Source organism: Homo sapiens, chromosome 2, assembly GCF_000001405.40.
Source record: "Homo sapiens chromosome 2, GRCh38.p14 Primary Assembly".
Classification (NCBI taxonomy): Eukaryota; Metazoa; Chordata; class Mammalia; order Primates; family Hominidae; genus Homo; species Homo sapiens.
This window is the reverse complement of record NC_000002.12, coordinates 20,053,594-20,075,992: the sequence shown is the minus strand read 5'-3', so window position 1 is coordinate 20,075,992 and position 22,399 is coordinate 20,053,594. Positions and strand designations below refer to the sequence as shown.

The 22,399-nt window shown below is 42.7% G+C and overlaps 1 long non-coding RNA gene across 2 annotated transcripts in view; it reads right to left on the bottom strand.

Moving 5' to 3' along the window:
* LAPTM4A-DT (LAPTM4A divergent transcript) overlaps positions 1-22,399 on the bottom strand; it is a 65,743-nt gene that overhangs the window by 41,887 nt on the left and 1,457 nt on the right. The window contains exon 2 of one of the 2 annotated variants that reach the window (NR_187142.1): positions 13,947-14,212. This is a non-coding gene — a long non-coding RNA (LAPTM4A divergent transcript). Of the gene's footprint in view, positions 1-13,946; positions 14,213-21,496; positions 21,709-22,399 lie in introns of those variants that run through there. The other variant, NR_187143.1, reaches the window with a different exon arrangement.

Here is a 22,399-nt window from a genome sequence, read left to right as displayed (position 1 = left end):
CACACCACTGCACTCCAGCCTGAGTGACAAAAGTGAGACCCTGTCTCAAAAAAATTTCTTTTTAAATAATAAATTAAAAATATTTTTTTCTGATGTCAACTTTCTTGTGGTTGCCATTTGCCTGATCTGTTTTCCCATTTTTTGATTTTCAAATTTTCCATGTTCTTATGATCTTGGTGTGTCCCATGGAAACAGCATATGGCTGAATTTTTTAACCAAACTGGTAGCCTTGATCCTTGAAAAGGAAAACTAAGAAAAATTAAATTTATTGTGGTTTTTGATATATTTGGACTTGTTTTTAGCCATCTTACATTGTGCTGTCTGCCCCACCACTTGGTTTTTCTTTCCTTTTTTTCTCTCGTGTCTTACCTGTGACTAGTTCTTTGTTATAGAGACTAGAAAGAAAATTTTGAAAGGGAAATGGGCCACAATGTTCATCAAGAAGAAGAAAACAAAGGTTACTCTACTAAACCCCAGCACTAACCAGGCCAAATGATTTTTTTTTCTCCACCAAAATAAGGGTTAATCTTGAAAAAATTTAACCTGCTTACTTACTGCTTTTTTTTTTTTTAGTAAAATAAGAAAAAGAACAGAGAAAAAAACAAAGCCTTTTTTGCAATCAGCCAGGCAACAACTGTTGAACACCGACTTTGTGTAAACCCCTGAGCCAGAGTCTAGGACAGGGTTCCCTCCTGGAGCTTCCATGCTAAGGGGAAAAGAGACAAGTGCACAATCAAGCTAATTCACACATGAGATCAGTACCACGAGTAAATTACAGAGGGTTATGGCAGCCAGAGAGAGACTGGGGCTGAGGTGGAGGAAGCGATTTCAGAGAGGAAGGTGTGGGATCGTTTCTCTGAGCTGACCTCTGCAGGAGGGAAGGGAGGTGACCTTGGGAAAGAGCAGGAGAAAAGGGTGAAGGTGGTGCAGGCAGAAGGAATCACAGGTGATAGGTTAAGAGACAGGAATAAACTAGGTCGGCTGAAGGCAGGATGGAGGCAGGGTGGCTGGATAGGAAGGAACCGGGCAGAGCTGGATGAAGTACGAGGCAGGATCCGGATCACCACGGAGCCCCAAGGCCATGGTAAGAGACAGTTATGACCTGACTTCATTTGTAAGTTTATCATTTTGTAGAAAGAACTTTAAATAGGGTAAACAATTCATCCCAGATTGCCTAGAACATTCTCAATTTTAGCATTGAAAGTCCTATGTCCTGAGAAATCTCTTAGTTCTAAGCAAACTGGGACCACTGGTCACCTTAAGTGAATAGTGAGTATAAATCCTGGTCCACATTTAGGTCTTCAGGAAACACCACTTTATTTCCAGTAGCTCAGCCTAATTTTGCCTTAAGCCCCTCCCTTCCTGAAACGTCATATTTGAGACCACTTTTCCTTTCAGGATCACAAGGGAATCCTTATTTGACACTCATGAAACATGGTGAGGGCCTCTAGTTGGCATGATTATAACAGGTGCTCTGACTGTCCAAGACTAGCATGCCCCCTTTAGTGACTCTCTGCAGGTAAAGTCCGCTTCCTTTGTTGTGGGACTCAGGAGGACGAGAGAGACCTCACGTTGAAACAGGAGAATCTTTATTGAGTGCACTCAGGCCCAGCTGACTCACATCCAAAAGACTGGGCCCAGAACAAAGACAGCACCTGACTTTTATACACACTTCACAAAAGGGGGTGGGCTAGCTTGAAGCAAGCTTACGGTGGTGTGAAAGCAGGGACACAGAGGCAGGACAAATACAGGATTGCACATGACCGTTGCCAAGCAACCCAGATGTCCGTTATCTAGGTTTGCCTGGGCACGGGCTTATCTTATAACCTTCACTATGGTGCCCAGGCAGCTGTAGTTCAGGTCTACTCAGGCTTCTAATGACCTTCGTTGTACTTCTTAGATAAAACAGAATACTTGAAGTCACTAGTTACAGAGAACAGCAATCTATAAACTCATTCCATAAAACAAAGGAAATTTTGTCTTTCTTTTCCCTATGTTGAGGGAGGGCTGGGAGAGTCTCCAGAGCACATTAGATAATATTATCAAGACTTTTCCTGGGTCTGGGCTGTGCCTGTTGCTGCCTCTGGGACAAGTCAGCCCAATACAGGAAAACTTATTTCTCTTTCTTCTTAATTTTATTTTTCTTTAATTTCCTGCCTCACCTTAGCACCTCAGCCTGCCAAGCTCTCTGATCTGGGCACCTCCTAAGGCCTCTTCCTTGGAACCTTGACTGGGCTCCTCCCTGCTCTCGGGGATTAAGGAACTCCCTCTATTCTCAATCTAGAAAAAATCTCATCTCTGTCCTTGCTGCTGTGTCCAGACACACACACTCTCTCCCCACACCCCCCAGGACACCTCGCCAAAAGTCATCTCTGATTCAGGCTTCTGCAAAAGCTGAGATGTTGTTAGGCTGCCTTATAGCCTTTCTAGAATTCTAGAAACATGGGATTATCAAGTCTGTCTACCTGCTTGAAAAATGATGGGAGGGATGGGAGAGTGAACCAAAGAAGAAAAAGGTACAGACAGAACTTTTCAATGACTTTTTCTACACAAGGAAAAGCAGAGGGATAAGGTAGGGAGGTATTGCATATTCCAAGTGACAGAGGATGGTAGCTAGGATTAGAGAGGTGGCAGTGGAGATGGAGAGAGGGGACAGTTGTAAAGCATATTTTGGAAGTAGTGCATGCTGAGGGAGGTGGGAGATGTGGGGACAGAGGCACTCAAGGATCACGCCTTGGGTAATCCTTTCAGCTTGAGCATGTGGTGTAAATAATTTCAGTCTGAATTGGAAACTAGGGGCATATGCCCACATACCAGACCAGAATGTACAGCAGACACCATTTCTGCCTTAAGAGGGAAAGCTCTGGAAGGGGGTATGGCATTGAGGGGGACCATCTTGCGGACTGCTCCTCTTTTACGTGAGGGTGGCAGGTATACAAGCATACAAGCCACCATTGGCAGTTTATTTTTTTCAGAAACAAGGACTCACTTTGTTTCCCAGGCTGGAGTGCAGTGGCATGATCATAGTTCATTGCAGCCTCAAACTCCTGGGCTCAAGCAATCCTCCTGCCTCAGCCTCCCAAGTAGCTGAGACTACATGTATGAGCCACCATGCCTAGCCAATTAAAAAAAATTATTTTTTGTAGAGACAGCGTCTCGCTATGTTGCCCAGGCTGGTCTCAAACTCCTGGCCTCAAGCAATCCTTTCACCTTGGTCTCCCAAAGCATTGGAATTACAGGGATGAGGCACTGTGGCCAGTCCATCGGCAGTTTTATATCTTGGACGCTCTAAGGGGCCTTGGTGATATTTGTCTTTTGTAATGTGGTACTTAAAAATATGATGCAAGACAGTGATAGGATAAGCTGTGCTTTTCTCAAAAATACACAAAAATGTACTTAAACCTCTTTGAAAAGTTCAGAAAATAAACAAGATTTTAGTTACAGGTTATGTTGGGGAAGGGGAAGCCTGTTACATTTTTAGACAGCTAGAGCAGTGGGACGAACTCCTTTACTAACTTTTTCCCTTTGATATTGGTGAGAGTCAGCAGTTGATTGTTCACTGGGTCCTGAACTATGAAATGCTAGTTTTCTGGAAAGAAAGAAAAGGAAAAGAAGGAAAAAAAAATCCACTAAATAATTTCCCTTCCCTTTCTACTCCCTCCGACTCCCAAAACAAGAAACGCCAACAAAACAAACAGAAACCCAGTCCCTTACAACGTGCCCCGGGTTGAGTGAGTGAGTGGCATGTGGCCTTGGATTCTTTCTGCTCACTGCTTTGAAAACAACCTCCAAAGGAGTGGGTGGGGTGGTCCTGGTGAGACTGGGAAGCAGAGGAACAAGTCCGTCTAGAGTTTGGGGGAAAGTCAGGGGAAGTGGGAGAAGGGGAGGAGGCTGCTAGGAGCCTGGGAAAGAGGACAAAGGGCTGGAGGAATTTGAATTACACAGTGAATGTCAGCCTGCCCTTAACTACTACCAGATGCTGAGCCTGAGTTTGCAACATATGTTGGCTGAAATTGCAACACATGTTGGCCTTTTTTTTTTGGAAGCAAAGCCCTGTTATTGTGGAGTCAGAGTCTTAAAGAACTGGGAAAGCAAAGGTATTATTACCTGTCCTCATTTGCAGGGATTTCCTTTGCAAGCCTCCTGTGAGAAGGTTATCTTTCCACACAGATCTGCAAACCCAAAAGGTCAGGTCTGCATGTACCCTGCAGCCAGAAAGAAATTTCACTGGGTGAGGCTCACCGTCTGGGAACCTATGTCATCTTCCCCAGCCTGGGGCTAAAAAGTGAGCGGCCCAGACTTCACTGCAAAGAAAAAGCTCTGTGTGGTGGAGCCAGTGGTGCTGCTTGGCTGACTCAGCCCCCTTCTGGCTCTCACAGCCCCTCCGTGCCCCTTGGAGCTCCAGCCCTATCTTTCCTGGTCCCTGGCACAGGCCGTCCACACCACTACAAACGGGTGAACCGTACTCCTGGATCCTGTCCAGGCCACTCAGGAGCACATCTCTGGCCTCCATCCCTGTCCACCCCCACTTGCTATGGCTTTCGCTCTAAAACGGCCACTCCTGTGCCTGCAGCCCTGAAGCGGGAAGGCTGGGATACATCTCTAGCCGATGGAGCTGGGATGTAAAGCCAAGGTTTCTTCTGCATATGCCATAAAATTTTAAAAACACAAAAAGTAGAGAGTGAAAGAAAAAATAAGCTGCCATTCTTCCCTATTCCCTAGCCTCTCAGTTTCCCATACCATTTTCTTTTCTTTCTTTCTTTTTTTTTTTCCTGTGAGACAGAGTTTTGCTCTTTCGCCCAGGCTGGAGTACAGGGGTGTGATCTCAGCTCACTGCAACCTTCGCCTTCCGGTTTCAAGTGATTCTCCTGCCTCAGCCTCCCAAGTAGCTGGGGTTATAGGCACCTGCCACCACACCCGACTAATTTTTGGTTTTTGTTTGTTTGTTTGTTTTGTTTTGTTTTTTAGTAGAGATGGGGTTTCACCATGTTGGCCAGGCTGGCCTCGAACTCCTGACCTCGTGATCTGCCCACCTTAGCCTACCAAAGTGCTGGTATTACAGGCATGAGCCACTGCGCCCAGCTCCTATACCATTTTCTTACAACCATGATAATTCCATATATAGTCGTTTATATACACAAATGCATAGTGATGTTTTAGTCAATGATATACCACATATACACCAGTGATCCCATGAGATTATAATGGAGCTGAAAAATTCCTATCCTCATGACATCGTAGCTGTCATAACATTATAACATAATTGTTTTTTATAAATTTAGTATAGTGTACAGCAGGGGTCCTCAACCCCTGGGTCTCAGACCAGTACTGGTCCATGGCCTGTCAGGAACCGGGCCATGCAGCAGAAGGTGAGTGGCAGGCGAGCAAGCATGACTGTCTGAGCTCCGCCTCCTGTCATATCAGCAGGAGAATTAGGTTCTCATAGGAACACGAACCCTGTTGTGAACTGTGCATGCGAGGGATCTAGGTTGTGCACTCCTTATGAGAATATTTGTTTGTTTCTTTTTTGTTGTTGTTGTTATCTCCTTATGAGAATCTAACTAATGCCTGATGATCTGAGGTGGAACAGTTTCATCCCCAAACCATCACCCCACCCCTGTCCGTGGAAAAATTGTCTTTCACGAAACTGGTCCTTGGTGCCAGGAAGGTTGGGGTCTGCTGGCGTACAGTGTTTATAAAGTCTACAGTGGCATAATGTCCTAGACTTTCCCATTCACTCAGCACTCTCTCACTGACACCCAGAGCAACTTTCATCTTGTAACCTCCATCCATGTTAAGTGTCCTATGCAGATGTAGCATCTTTTGTCTTTTATACCATATTTTTACTGTACCTTTTCTATGTTTAGCTATGTTTAGATACACAAATACTTACTATTATGTTACAGTTGCCTACAGTATTCAGTACAGTAACATGCTGTATGGGTTTATAGCCTAGGAGCATAGTCTATACTATATAGCCAGGTGTGTAGTAGGTTACACCATCTAAGTTTGTGTAAGTATATCCTATGATGTTCATGCAACAATGAAATTGCCTAATGACACATTTCTCAGAATGTATGCCCATCATTAAGCAATGCATGACTGTATTATTTAAAAAAAATTTTTTAATGGTAGCATATTTTATATACTGTTCTATATCTGGCTTTTTTAATAATAATTTATCTTGGAGATATATATTATGTTCTTAGTACATTTAGAGCTACCTTTCTTTTTTTTTTGAGATGAAATCTTGCTCTATCTCCCAGGCTGGAGTGCAGTGGCACAATCTCAGCTCACTGCAACCTCCACCTCCCAGGTTCAAGCGAATCTCCTGCCTCAGCCTCCCAAGTAGCTGGAATTACAGGCACCAGCCACCATGCCTGGCTAATTTTTGTGTTTTTAGTAGAGATGGGTTTCACCATGTTGGCCAGGCTGGTCTTGAACTCCTCACATCAGGTGATCCACCCACCTCGGCCTCCCAAAGTGCTGGGATTACAGGCGTGAGCCACCGTGCCTAGCAGAGCTACTTTTCTTTTTAATGGCTGCATAGTGTTCCACTCATACCCATGATGGTTATTTATTTATTTATTTATTTATTTATTTATTTATTTATTTTGAGATGGAGCTTCTCTCTTTTGCCCAGGCTGGAGTGCAGTGGCAGGTTCGTGGCTCACTGCAACCTTTGCCTCCTGGGTTCAAGTGATTCTCCTGCCTTAGCCTCCTGAGTAGCTGGGGTTACAGGTGCATACCACCACGCCTGGCTAATTTTTTGTATTTTTAGTAGAGATGGGGTGTCACCATGTTGGTCAGGCTGGTCTCGATCTCCTGACCTTGTGATCTGCCTGCCTTGGCCTCCCAAAGTGCTGGGATTACAGGCATAAGCCACCATGCCCAGCCCCGGTTATTTTTTGTTTTATTTATTTATTTTGAGACAGAGTCTCGCTCTGTCACCAGGCTGGAGTGCAGTGGTGCAATCACGGCTCACTGCAACCTCTGCCTCTCGGGTTCAAGCGATTCTCCTGTCTCAGCCTCCCAAGTAGCTGAGATTACAGGCATGTGCTACCACACCTGGCTAATTTTTGTATTTTTAGTAAAGATGGGGTTTCACCATGTTGGCTAGGATGGTCTCGATCTCTTGACCTTGTGATCCACCTGCCTTGGCCTCCCAAAGTGCTGGGATTACAGGTGTGAGCCACTGTGCCTGGCCTGCCCTGGTTATTTTTATGTCAACTTGGCTGGGCCACAGAATGCCCAGCTACTTGGTCAGACATTATTTTGGATGTTTCTGTGAAGATGCTTTTGGATGAAACTTACATTTAAATCAGTGAACTCTGAGTAGGTAGATTGCCTTTCACAACACAAATGGGCCTCATCCAATTACTTGAAGGTCTCAGTAGAACAAAAAGTTGACCTTCCCCAATTAAGAGGGAATTCTGCCACAGACTGCTTTCAGACTTGAATTGCAATATCAGCTCTTTCATGTATCTCCAGGCTCAGTGCCTTTAAAGTCAAACTGCAACTGTTTCCTGCATTTCCAGCCCACTGGCCTCCCCCATTAGATTTTTGGCTTGGCAAACTTCCACAATCATGTGAGCCAATCTCTTAAAATAAATTTCTTCAAAAATACACAACACACACATACACACTTTCACTGTTTCTCTGAAAAATCCTGACTAATATAACACCATAGTCTATCTGACATAGTCCATTAATGGACACAGGTTTTTTCATTTTCCTGCTATTACAAACAATGCTGCAATGAATAAATATGTCATCATGCACGCGCCAAGCCCATATTTTAACCACTGTGTTATTTTGCTTCAGTACAAAGGAATTTAGAAAATCCCTCCAAGCAATAGCCAGGCTAGCTTGGGTATGTCTTGCTACAAATCTTAGTGTCATTAGTCACTAGGAAAGTGCAAATTGCAATCAAAATAAGCTATCCTTATGTATTAGTCCATTCTCGCATTACTATAAAGAAATGCCTGAGATTGAGTAATTTATAAAGAAACTATGTTTAATTGGCTGACAATTCTGCAGGCTGTACAGGAAGCATGGCAGCATCTGCTCCTGGAGAGGCCTCAGGAAACTTACAATCATGGCGGAAGGCAAAGGGGAAGCAGGCACATCTTACATGGCTGGAGCAGGAGGAAGCAGGGGGAGGTGCTACACACTTTTAAACAACTAGACCTCACGAGAACTCTATCACAAGACAGCACCAAGGAGATGGTGCTAAACCGTTGGAAACCAGCCCCATGATCCAATCATTTCCCAGTAGGCCCCACTTCCAACACTACAATTCAACATGAGATTTGGGCAGGGACACAGATCCAAACCATATTACCTTATATGCACCTACTAGAATGGTTAAAAGTATAGACTGGCCATATTAAGTGTTGGTGAAGATATGGAGCAACTGGAACTCACCCTGTTAGTGGGAGTATAAAATGGTGCAACTACTTTTTGGAACAGCCAATTTCTTAAAACAATAAAAATACATCTATGAGGTGACACCGACATTACACTCCTAGGTATTTTCCCAAGAGAAATGAAAGCATATGTCCGCACAAAGACATGCACACAAACGTTCATAGCAGCTTTATTTGTAGCAGCCAAAAACTGGAAACAACCAAAGGCCCATCAACTGGTAAATAAACAAATTGCACTGTATCATACAATGGAATTTTACACAGCAATAAAAAGGAGGGAACTATCAATTCCTGCAGCAATAAAAATGAGTCTGAAAATAATTATGCAGAGTGAAAGAAACCAGACAAAATGTGTAAATACTGTATGATTCCACTTATATAAAATTCTAGAAAATGCAAATTAATCTGTAGTAACAGAGAGCAAATCAGTGCTTGCCTGAGAACCGAGTTGGGGAGCCAGGAAACTTTTGGAGGTGAGGATATGTTCATTATTTTGATTGTGATGGCCATTTCACTTACGTTGAAACTCATCAGATTGTACACTTTCAATATATTCAGTTTATTGTATTTCAATTATATATCAAAAAACTATAAAACTCTTATTTTGAAAGTCAAAAGGTGAATAATAATGTTTTTGTTGTTTTGGTAAGTATTTTAGAACAATCTTAATCTCTCCATGTAAATGAATGCCTTAGGCAGATAGAGAGAATGTCAGATATTCAGAAAAGTAAAAGAGAAAAAGCACATTAATATTTTTCCAAAATATCGTCCCAGTTGCAAATTTATATTGTGAGTGTGCCCCCGACTCCCACACTGCCCTTCAGTTTCATGGCCCACCACACCCCAAGGCCATCCGAGCTGCACCATGCTGAACTAGCAGTTTTCCAGACACACCAGGCTGTGGTTACCATGATGGGTAGAGCAGGCAAAGCTAGGACCTGCTGCAAAGTCTCCAGAGAAGAGGCTCACTCTGCAAGATACCTGAGGATGTCCAAGGGCCCCATGCTCTTCCCTGATCTGAACTGAATGCTTCTTGCCTGGCCCTAAGCTGTGAAAGAGAAAGATGAGTCAGTACCACAGTGCTTGGCAAGATGCCAGCAAAGAGGCTGGGCACTCCTCACCACTTGGCAGCCTGGGCAAATGCCCACCTGCCAGGCCCATACAGGCCCTTGGCAGCTGCCCAGGTCCAGGGCTGGGTGCTGGGATGAGCAACAGAAAGCGGCTTTATGAAGCTCTTACTGTCAGCACAGGTCAGAGGCCAGAAGAAAATGGATGCACCGAGAGAAGAGAGGAAAGCTACACTCTGCAGGCAAGGGCCGAGCCAGTTCCCCAACACGCTGGCCCAGCCCTCTTTCATGGCTGCATGCCAGAGAGGCTGGGGCCTCTTCCAGATTCTCATGCTCTCTGTAATTCAGCAAGCCCCAAACTTGGTGGCCTGGGATTGTCCGGAAGCAGAAGACTAGGGCAGACTTTGACCTCTTCTATGTAGTTGTCACTGACATCCATTGTTCTTGGTGTCTGGAACTCCCTCCTTCCCCAACCAGCCCACATCTAGTTCCTCAACCCCTGGCAGAAGGGTCTGCTGGGCTTGTTATGCTTCTCTTGGACTTCAGAGGACAATATTCTCCATTTTATGAGCTAAACACCAGAGGTTAACATATCGTGCCCATCATCTGTGCACCCAGTAGGGACAAATGTCAATGGAAACTGCATTATTTATTATTTTTAAACATTATAGTCCGGGTGTTTGGCAAATCTATTTTTAGGATGAAGAGAGAGATGCTGAAAAGCTGAGATCTTGAAAACAAAAACGCCAAGGATTCTGGTTTCTTTGATTTCACTCGCTGAGATCCCCTTTTCAGCCCAGGACTCTGCCCACTCTCCTATTGTGCAGGGTTGCTGTCGCTTACACACACAGGATCTTTAAGTTCCCTGGAGACTCACAAACTTGGTTATGCTTGGTTATTTGTCTTGATTTTAGATGTTCAGCAGTAGCTATTAAATTGAATGGTGAGGGGTGGTAGAATATTTCACTCTCAGTAGTAAGTATTTAGAAGATCCTACCATTAAAAGCAATGTGGGGTAAACTCAGTGTACAAAGAATCCCAAGATCAAGTACTTGTGAGGTATTAAAAACCCACCGAAGGCAAAATCACTCAGAAGCCTCATTTGACCTTGTCCTGAATGTGGCAGGGATAGTAGGGGCAAATGTATTCCGCTCAGTTAGGAAATGTTTGACACATATGGTCAAGATCATTACAGCCTGGACTAGAGAACTAGGGAGATGTGTTTCATATTTTTCAGAAATAATACGGAGCCTAAGGATCAGACCAGAGGTGTGCCTTACCCACTATGTCTGATCCAACAGTATATTGGTCAGGGTTCAACCAGAGAAACAGAACCAGTAAGAGGTATGCACTAAGAGATTCTTGCAAGAAATTGGCTTCCACAGTTGTGGGGGCTGGCTGGGTGAGTCTGAAATTCCTAGGGCAGGCCTCAGGGAAGGGCAGGCCTCAGGGAAGGGCAGGCTGGGACTTTGGGGTGTGGCTGAAGCTGCTGTTACAGGTAGAGTTTCTTCTTCTACAGGGAAGAAGAAATTATATGCCCCAGATGATCTAGAATAATCCATTTTACTTAAATCAACTGATAATGGACTTTAATCATGTCTACAAAATACCTTCACAGCAACACTTAGATTAGTGTTTAATTGAATAAATGGAGACTGCTACTCAATCAGGGTGATACTTTAAAAAGCCATCACAACAGATTCCGCCTATGGGCCTCTGTCTAAGCCATTTCCAAGGCCCTCTTGAGAAATCTGGTGGATCAGTAGGTGAGGCAGCAACTGGGGCACCTGAAAGGTAAGTTCCCTATGATGTAAGGGTGAAGGTAAGTCCCCTACAATGAAGGGGTGAAGGGAGGGCCCCCAGCCCAGACCGTCAGGCACCACCCGGCTGTACACCTTTATACCATGGAATTTCAGGAAGCCCAGAGCCCCAGAACTGGGTGAACCTGTAGACACTCCTAGTCAAACTCTCTCATTGTCCATTAGGAAACCTATGGCCTGCATCAATGAAATAGCCAAGATCAACCAGAAAAAGAATATTGGTCTCCCATCTGCAAGACTGGGGAAAAAATTAGAAGACTGAGGGGATGAGGAAGGAAAGAAAACAGCCTAATGGAGAAGATCCTCAAACCTCAGACCTGGAAGTGAGCCTGGGGCTTCCCTAGTCTACCCCTGCATTGCACAGATGGGGAGACTGAGGCCCTAAGAGGCGGAAGAACTGACTCAAGCTCACTCTGTGAGTTGAGGGTGGAACTGGAACTGAACTCAGACCCACACCTCCTGGCAAAGTGCTCAATGCCCTCTGCCCGCGCAGCCCTCCTGCTCTCCTAACAAGCTAGAGACACTAAAAGCTGCCTCTCCAGGAGAATCGCTTGAATCCGGGAGGCAGAGGTTGCAGTGAGCCAAGATCGTGCCACTGCACTTCAGCCTGGCGACAGAGCAAGACTCCGTTTCAAAATACATACATACATACATGCATACATACATACATACATACATACATACATACATACATACAAAAGCTGCCTCTCTAACCCCCAGACATTTTGAATTCATGTTTTTGCCACAAAGTGTTCTTGGAATCAAAGAATCAATTCATTAATCTGGGTAATTAGTTTAGGAACCAGAGGGCTTGGAGACTGTGCTGTGAGAACAATTCCAAGCTCAGTCTCTACACTGAAAAACCTAACTACCTCTGACCTGTGTCCACAGGTGACACCTCAGCCTCAGCCAGGAAAAAGCTGGAGGCTCTGCACACGCCTCCCCCATCCCGCCCTCCCCAGTTCTTACCCCCAGAGGGACATATGGCTCAGGACAGGTATCCTGTGGGCAGTGGGGCAGGGACACCCTCCTCCTGTTCCTCTCCTGTATTTTACAAATGGCAACATGGAGCACAGAGAAATAATCTGTTCATGGCCATCCCACAAGCTAATGACTAAAAATTCTAGTCCTCTGTATTAGTTTGTTATCACGCTGCTGATAAAGACATACCCGAGACTGGGCAATTTACAGAAGAGGTTTAATCGACTTTCAGTTCCACCTGGCTGGGGAGGCCTCACAATCGTGGCAGAAGGTAAAAGGCAGTCTCACATGGCAGCAGACAAGAGAAGAGAGCTTGTGCAGGGAAACTCCCCTTTATAAAACCATCAGATCTCATGAGACTTACTCACTATGATGAGAATAGCATGGGAAAGCCCCGCCCCCATGATTCAATTACCTCCCACCGGGTCCCTCCCATAGCACGTGGGAATTCAAGATGAGTTTTGGGTGGGGACACAGCCAAACCATATCCTCTATTTCTCATTTCAATGTTTTTCTTTCTTATTTCAATGTTTTTCTTTCTTTCTTTTTTTTCTTTCTTTTTTTTTTTTTAACATTCATTTCCAGTTGATTCCAGCAGGGCAGCCCAGCACTTAGACAAGTCTACCCTGAAAGTGTCTGAAAGTGCTCAAAGTTTTCTTACTGAGTGTTAGTGGCCAGATGGAAGGTAGGCAGGCTTGGGAGGCTCAGTGAAGTATCATCTAGCTACGCCAAAGCTTACGTTAGAGGAGAAGTATTTAAGTATGGGTTTGAGGCCTCATGCTTCAAAAGAATCACACAGAGAAATATTGTGGGCCTCTGGGAGAAATTTGAGCCTTGGCTGGCTGCAAAGCTGCATAAACAGTGGTGATGACTGTGGTTAATCCAAACCCCACTCCGAGCTCTGCAGAGTCAGTTCTGCCTATGGCTCATGAAATCCCCACTCATTACTGAACCCTTTTAGGGAGGAAGAAACTGACACAAGTAGCAGAGGCAGAAAGCCACCCTGGTCACATCATGCAACTGCTGGGAGATGCCCTGTGTCATAAAAGGTCACATTTCTAAACGGCTAATGCTAACCCCAGATGCCAAAGCTGGGCAGAAGCAGGTTTGCAGAGCTCTCTAGAATACGTGTTCTTGTGAGCTTCAATGGCCCGGTTTTCTGCAATTCAGGGCAGATGACTCCATGTCTGGGTTGCCCATCCATCAGCAAAGATTTATCAAGCTGGGCTAGTGTTAGGTGGTTTGGTATATAAAAAGATTTAGAAACATGTCCCATCCCTCCAGGAGTTTGGTCTAGCCAAGGTAGTAAGACAAACTCACACCCAGATACTGAATAAAACCAGCCGGATGTGCTCTTGCCCAGCAGCAGGCGTGGACTCTGCCCGCACAGGGAATGTGAATGGTGCCCTCTGCAGTTGTGCACCACCATGGCCCAGGCTGGGGAGCTCAGAGGAAGAGCAGATCCCAGTGGGCTGGGCTGGGCAGGGCAGGGCAAGGAGGGTGGCTGTTCTATGCCCACATCCCTCTTCTTCCTTTCTCAGGTGGCAGTCACTGGCTGAGTTTTCTAGCCAATGGCAGAGGGCATGAGACCCAGGGACAGGCCTGGTGAAGGGCTGGATAAAGGAGCATCACAGGGGAGGCCCACTGACCTGGCCACGCTTCCTATTCATGCCAAGTCCCATGGGGCGTTCTGTAGCATCGCTGCACCCCAGCCAGCCAGTCTTCAGCCTTCTGTCCCTCTGTCCCTCTGTGCCCCTTGAATGGGGCCCATCGTAGGTTGACTGGGCTAGCTCTTTGCCCCGCTTGTTGATGCCACTTGTCATTTCCCATTTTTCCAATCAATCATGTGATGTGAAGGGCAAAAGGAAAGTGCCAGCTTTCCCAAATGCCTCCCCTGATGCCTTTCCAGAGGGAACTGTGAGAAGTAAATGTTGTTTATTAGTCACCGGGTCTATTGTATTCCACTATAGAAACCCACATGGACTAAAACATCAGTCCAGCTTCCCTGGATGGTTTCCCGGAATCCACCTCCCATCTCATGAGATGGCAATGGCTATCACAGCTCGGAGGAATCTGACTCCACTTTCACTATGAAAGTTTTGTCATGTTGAGCTTTTATGAAGTTACATTTACTTCTTGGATTAACTTAGAAACAGCCAAATTATACCCATTTCTTGGAGTCTATAGCTGTGTTTTAGTTTGCCCTTCTTTTAAAGGAAAGTCTAGAATCCAATGCTAATAAATACTTTGATTAAAATGTACTCCTTTTAATGAGATCATGTCCTTTGCAGGGACAGAGATGGAACTGGAAGCCATTATCCTCAGCAAATTAACACAGGAACAGAAAGCCAAACACAGCATGTTCTCACTTAAAGTGGGAGCTAAGCAATGAGAACACATGGACACAGGGAGGAAACAACACACACTGGGGCCTGTTGGGGGCGGGGGGCATTGCGGGGAGGGAGAGCATCAGGAAGAATAGCTAACGGATGATGGGCTTAATACCTAGGCGATGGGTTGATCTGTGCAGCAAACCACCACGGCACACATTGACCTATGTAACAAACCTGCACATCCTGCACACGTACCCCAGAACTTACAATAAAAGTTGAAGACAAAAAAAAAACCTATACTCTTTTTAAGCTACACAAAAGGAAAGGAACAGATCTTCCTCACACCCCTCAAAAGAAATGAACTCGACAAACACCTTCATCAGGAAGGTTGCCAGAACTATGAGATAATCCATTTCTTGTTTAAGCCACCCAGTTTGTGGTCTTTTGCTATGGTAGCCCTAGCAAAACAATGCAGATGGTTTCTCTTTTTAAATTGTGTAGCCAATATCTTTTTGCTCCTCCTCTGAAATAAACCAGGTTCCAGGAGGACTTGGGTGCCACCAGGTCTGCTCACCGAAATCCATTGACAAGATGCCACACATTTCCACTACATGGTGAGTCCCTCACTTTAGGAATCATGTTTACTGATGCTTTCTGGATTCTGCTGCCACTTGAACCTCATAGCTCTTTGCCAGTTTCTCCTATATGGCTTCTGTCTAATCTTAGCTGCTCTCAGCAGCCCTGATTCATATTTTGAAGGCTATGGATTATATCTGCTCCCAAATTTGCTGAAGATAAGTTTACATTTTTTGTTGTTTTTGTAGCATTTAAAAAAGAAAAAAAGAAGAAAGATGCTGAATCTATGTTACCACATTCACACCAGAAGTCCTTAAAGTTAACATTTAATCCCATAATCCTAAGTAGTGAATTCAGCAAAGCGCATGGAAAGCACTTTTCCCATGGTGATAATTACATAGTGCTTTTCATCTTCAAGGTAGTTGGCCAACACTTACTAATTAATTCTTCTAATACCCTGGAGCAATTAAAAATAAAAACCACACATTTAATTTGACTAGAGGAGATAATTACCAATATCAGCAGACAAGAAATCCTGCAAGGGACTAGAGATGAATAATTAAATTGTGGTGGAAATATTTCAAGGCATGATTGCCTTCTGCTTTCATTACAGTAAGAACATTAAACCTTGATTAAGAAAGAAATCTTATTTCCCTTTTACAGGTGAAGAAACTGAGATTCAGACAAGGAGCTTTTTGTTAAGCAAATACTAATTAGCCAATAATCTAAATGGAAGTTAATGGAGAATTGTTTAAACTCAGTGCTATGGTCTGAATGTTTGTGTCCCTCCCAAATTAAAATTAAAATTCTAACCCCAAGGTGATGGTATTAGGAGGTGGATCCTTTGGGAGGTGATTATATCATGAGGGTGGAACCCTCATGAATGGGATTAGTGCCCTTATATAAAAACCCCCTCACCCCTTCAACTATGTGAGGACACAGCAAGAAGATGCCATCTGTGAACTGGAAAGCAGGCCCTGATCAGACTCCAAATCTACTGACACCTTGATCTTGGACTTCCCAGTCTCCAGAACCATGAGAAATAAATTTCTGCTGTTTATAAGCTGCTCGGTTTATCGTAATTTGTTATAGCAGCCTGAATGGACTTAACACCTATGGTATTAAGAATTTTGAGGCCAGGCATGGTGGCTCATGCCTGTAATCCCAGCATCTTGGGAGGCTGAGGTGGGTGGATCAATTGAGATCAGGAGTTCGAGACCAGCCTGGGCAACATAGTGAGACATCGTCTCTATTTTAATTTTTTTTAATGAAAAGAAAAAAGAATTTGAAAATCCTAAATCTGCTTTTCGCCTCTATTAAAAAATCTTCAGGTGGCAGCTCTTAGTATCCTAGAGTCACATTCTGAATATTTGTAACCATTGTCCACAAGGGCAGTCAGAAGGCTCAAGTTAGTGGTTTCTAAACTTACTTTTTGGTCTAAAACCTCTTCATACTCTTAAAAATTATAGAGGACAATGAAGAGCTTTTGTTTATCTAAGGTAACTACTGATATATCCTTTACTAGAAAGGAAAATAGAGACAATTTAAAAATATTTCTAAATTGATTTTAAAATGACAACAATAAGTCCATTATTGGTTAATATAGACAACATATTTTTATAAAAAATAACTACATTTTTCAAAATATAAAAAAAGCTTGCAAGAAGAGTGGCATTATTTAATATTTTGCAAATCTGCTTAATGTTTTGCTTGATAGAATAGATAGAATAAATGTGGATAAAACAGAATAGATAGAATAGATACATGTGGATTCTCATATCTGCTTCTGAACTCAATCTGTTGCGATATGTTTTTTGTTGAAATATAAGAAGAAAATCCAGTCTTATAGATACGTAGTTGGAAAAGTGAGGAGTATTTTATGAGCCTTTTTAGATAATTGTGGCTATTCTTTTTTGATTCTATACGAAAACATAGTCAATGGTAATTCCTTAAAAGGTCAGTTGCAGTGTGGAATCTGAAACCTACCAGTAAACTTTTCAAACTGTTACATTAGAAATCATTGGTCTATCTTGCATTTGACTGGCTCTTTTATTTATGCATGATTTTATAAGATTATGCCTTGGTTCTTTGGCAAATGGCTCATTTAATTATGCAGATAGTCAAATGTTGATAATATTAGACAAAAACAAAAATCACATCAGTTTATTTTACCTCGAATCTCATCATAAAAGTCTTGAATTATCACTGTCAAGTTCATGGTGGTGGACACAATTTCTTCCAAATCTCTCATTTTCCTCTTGAAAGCTCTAGTTTAATCACTGCTCACAAATACTCTAGTTGCTTTCCTTGAAGGGACAGACAGGCTTACTTCATTCATTTTCAAGAAAATGACTGCCAAATACTCATGTCTGAATATTAATATTTGCCTGTCAGTCGTTCTTTAAAACAAAATAGTACTCCATGAAAAAGCGGCTAGTTCGGTTCCCCTGCCTTGGCCTCCCAAAGTGCTAGGATTACAGGTGTTAGCCATGAGCCCAGCGTTGCTATATTTTAATTAATTAACTTTTTTCCATTTTATTTTTAGTTGACACCATTATATAAATTCACAGGATACAGAGCAATATTTGGATACGTGTGTAATGAGCAATGATCAGATCAGGAAAGTTAGCATATCTATCACCTTGAATATTTATCATTTCTTTGTGTTGTGCACATTCAAAATCCTCTCTTCTAGATTATTGAAAATATGCAGTACATTTTTGGTAACTATATTCACCTCACAGTGCTGCAGAACACTAGAATTTATTCCTCCTATCTAGCTGTACAGTACTTTTGTATCTGTTAACCAGCCTCTCCCCATCCTCCTCTCCCTCCTTCTCTTCTCAGTCTCTAATAATCTTTATTCTACTCTCTACCTCTGTGAGCTCCATTTTCAGCTCCCACATATGAGTGACAGCATGTGGTATTTATCTTTATGTACCTGATTTATTTCACGTAACATAATGTCCTCCAGGTTCAGGTATGTTGCTTCAGTTGACAGGATTTCATTCTTTTTATGGCTGAATAGTATTTGATTGTGTATATACATTTTCCTTATCCATTCATCTGTTGATGTACACTTAAGTTGATGTACACTTAAGTTGATGTACACCAACTTAAGTATATTCCATGTCTTGACTATAGTGAATAGAGCTGCAATGAACATGAGGGTGCAGGTATCTCTTCAATATACTAATTTCCTTCCCTTTGGATAAATACCCAGTAGTGGGGTTGCTGGGTCATATGGTAGTTCTATTTTTAGTTTTTTGAGAAACTGCCATACTGTTTTTCCATAATGACTATAAATCAACTTTTGACATTAATTATTGGCTTCCATTGTGGTAGATGAAGACCGATCACTCTTGGACTGTCATCTGTTCCCCTTCCTCCTAACCCTCCCAAAATATACATATCTCAATGTTTTATAAAATACCCAATATTCAATGTTTATTTGATTATGCCCATGTAATTACTATTCACAGCTACACACTGTGGTACACTCTGATTACATTGCTTTTCTAAATTTTTGTTTTTCTTGAACTTATACTAATTGCCTTGTTTACTAAATTGCTTAATTTTCTTTGTGCTTGTCATTTGCTCAGTTTTGCCACACTTTCCCAATGCCTTTCATTGTAGTTTTCCTGCCAGATCTACCCGATTAGGTAGCCTATCAGTGCTAATTTCTTTCTTGCTCCCTGATACCTTCATTCTCTTCTATTAGTACTGGTGGCTTCCTAGGCCCCCTGCACAGCTGTCATCCTGAGACTTCCTTTTGCTTTCATCTTATGAAATTTCCTCGGCTTTTGTCCTAAGTTTGATTTCTGGTTTTTTGGTTCTCATCTCTTCCTCTTGGTTTTCTCCTTTTTTTTGGTGGAGTACATCCTCAAGTAGCTTCATTAAGATAAAAACTCAGTAGAATTACAGAAGGCAAAAATGATGATCGTGCTCCAATCTGAAATGGTTGACCTCTACACCTAATGTACAGTCTTCATACTGAAATCTCTATTATTCTCTGGAGTCTTCATCCACATCTCACTTATGTTGGATATCCTGTTTTCTGCATCCCACATTTTCCTCTTTAATGTACTCATTTCATTTTGATGGAGCATAACATCTGGTGGCTGAGAAAAAGATGTTTAGGAGGCAAATTTTTTGAGACTTATCTGAAAATGTGTTTATTATATCCTTATACTTGACAGTTTGGCTGTGTGTAGAATTATAAATTGTAAACATTTTCTATGCAGAATTTTGAAATAAAATCTCTATTGTGTTCTAGAGTCCAGAGTTGTTGAGAAGGCTAAGGCTATTTGACTATGAATTTTTCTATATGGCTCATAGAAATCTTCTCTTTGAAGCTCATAGAATCTTCTCTTTGTCCCCACTGTCTTGAAATTTCACTCAGATGTGCCTTTACATGGATCTATTTTATTCCAAAAATATGGTCACTCAGCAGATATTTTCAGTCTTGGAAATTCATTCTTTCAGATCTAGGAAATGTTGTTATGATGATGACTTCCTCTCTCTTTCAGAAATTCCTATTATTCAGATACTGGATATCTTGGACTAATCCTCTAATTTTAATTTTATTCGTTCTTATTTTACATGTCTTTGTCTTTTGATTTGCTTCTGGGAAACTTTCTCAACTTTGTTTTCCAATCTTGAGTTTTTCATTTCTGCTCCCATGCTGTTAATTTCTAAGAATTTTTTGTCCTGTATAATTGTTATGGCACCTTATTCTTGATGTATGCTCAGAGTGTCTTTTTTTTCTTTTCTAAGTTCTCTTGACATTTTCTCCTAGACCCTATTTTCCAATTGTCTGGCCTCTGTCTTCCATGCTGAGGGATTTACTTAGAGCCTGGTATCCCTACATTATCTGTTCTCCATTAGGAGTGGGGAATTGAAAGACTGGCTGTAAACTCTGACGATATTGGTGAGATTTGTCAACTTTGAGCTTCACTTTAATCTATCTGAAGGGTTGGAAAACTACCAATGCCATTATCTTTAGGTCTTTCCTCTTGGATGGGTCATGGAGTGGATCGGCTTTTGTGGGGCTAGAAACTTACACAATTAGGGACTTTTTTTTGTTTGTTTTTGTTTTTGAGACAGAGTCTTACTCTGTCACCTAGACTGGAGAATAAGTGGTGCGATGTTGGCTCACCTCTGCCTTCTGGGTTCAAGTGATTCTTGTGCCTCAAGCCTCCCGAGCAGCTGGGACTAAAGACATGAGCCACCATGCCCAGCTAATTTTTGTATTTTTTGTATAGATGGGGTTTTGCCATGCTGCCTAGGCTTGTCTTGAACTCCTGAACTCAAGCGATCCGCCCACCTTGGCCTCCCAAAATGCTGGGATTACAGGTGTGAGCCACATACCTGGCCAGGAAGCTAAATTATTTCTATCAAGATGAACTGTGAATCAATTAAACCTCTTTTCTTTATAAATTACCCAGTCTCAGGTAGTTCTTTATAGCAGTGTGAAAATGGACGAATACATGGGGAAATCATCTTGTAAATAAGTGACAGCTGGGAAAAGATAAAAGGAGAAAAGAGCCTGACACACAGCCCTCAACAACACCAATATTTAGGGGGATGGACAGTAGAGGAGGGAACTACGAAGAACAATAAGAAGGAGCTGCCTGAGAAGTACACAGAAAAAAATAGTGGATGGTTAATCAGAAGCCAAGAAAGAATTTCTAGCTCTAAGGAAGAGTCAACAAGTAAATGCTTTAGGAGATGGGATGAAGACTGAAAATGCTCATTGACTTTTTCCCCTGTAGACTATATACACTCCAGGAAAGGTGCAATATCTGCCTTGTTCGTTCTTTCTTTTAATACCTTTTTTATTTTAGATTTTTGTGGCTACACAGTAGGTATATATTGTGTTGTTCATTCTCGTATCATCACATGGAATAGAATAGATCCTCAATAAAAATAAGTTAAAGTAATGTGAATAGACTAACACATTTAAAAGAGAAAAATAGATTAAACTATGTTAGCTAAAGAGCTTCAACCTCACTCTAATTTCTTTCGTTGTGAGTTTTCCTAAGCTATTTTCTCCTAAAAATGTTAACTTTCCTTTCCCCATCCCCAAAAGATGGGTTGTTTTGCCAATAGTACCTTACAATTTTCTCAAAAAAGGTGTATATATTAGATAAAAATTATCTAGACAAAACTCCATAACCGTATTTCACCCCTCTAATCCCGTTATGTATGCTATTGTTGTGCCAAACTCCTACTAACCTCAATAGAGAAGGTACCAGGTTCAAGAGGCCAAGAAGAGACTGGAGAGCCAGTAAATGAGACATGGGTTTGTATTAGGAGCTTACAGTCCAGTGGTGACAGAGGGGAAAGAGTCCAGTGGCAGCGGGCTGGACAGAAGAACCAGCTATGTATAGAAGTGGTCCAGTGGCAGTGGGGTGGACAACACATCTCCCTTCCTGCTGTCCTCTGGCAGCGGGCTGGACAACATAATTGCACGTCCCAAGGGCAGGAAAACCGCAACTGCCTGTAAACATCATGCAGTTTATACAGCATTTTCACTGAACACCCTCCCACTAACGACCTCCACTTGGCAACCTGCATTTAACCCAAAACTCAGGGCCCTAATCCCCTGTATGGCCCATGTTCCAATGGATGGGCCGGTGGGTGGGGGTGGGGGTTTAAGATGTTTATCATAGACACAGAACAAATCTCCAGGTTGGCCACTCCCAGATTCCCTAGCTCAGAGCACACATTCAGGTGCATCTACCATACAGGGTCATTCTCAGGGTATGCTTACATTATTGCTATCAGATGCGTTTATGTTGCAGGTCTCTAATGATTTACACCTCCCTGGTTCCTTGCCTGGGGTAGTCCCAGTACAGGGAGAACAGCCCTTACGAGCTGATCTGATGCCATGTTAGGTACACCTGATTTTGAATTCATTTTGGCTTTTAGAGAAATCGGATAATTTCCCGATTTTTTTTTTTTCTTTTTTTTTTGAGACAGAGTTTTGCTCTTGTTGCCCAGGCTGGAGTGCAATGGCGAGATCTCGGCTCACCGCAACCTCCACCTCCCAGGTTCAAGTGATTCTCCTGCCTCAGCCTCCCAAGTAGCTGGGATTACAGGCATGTGCCACCACGCCCAGCTAATTTTTTGTATTTTTAGTAGAGACGGAGTTTCTCCGTGTTGGTCAGTCTGGTCTTGAACTCCTGACC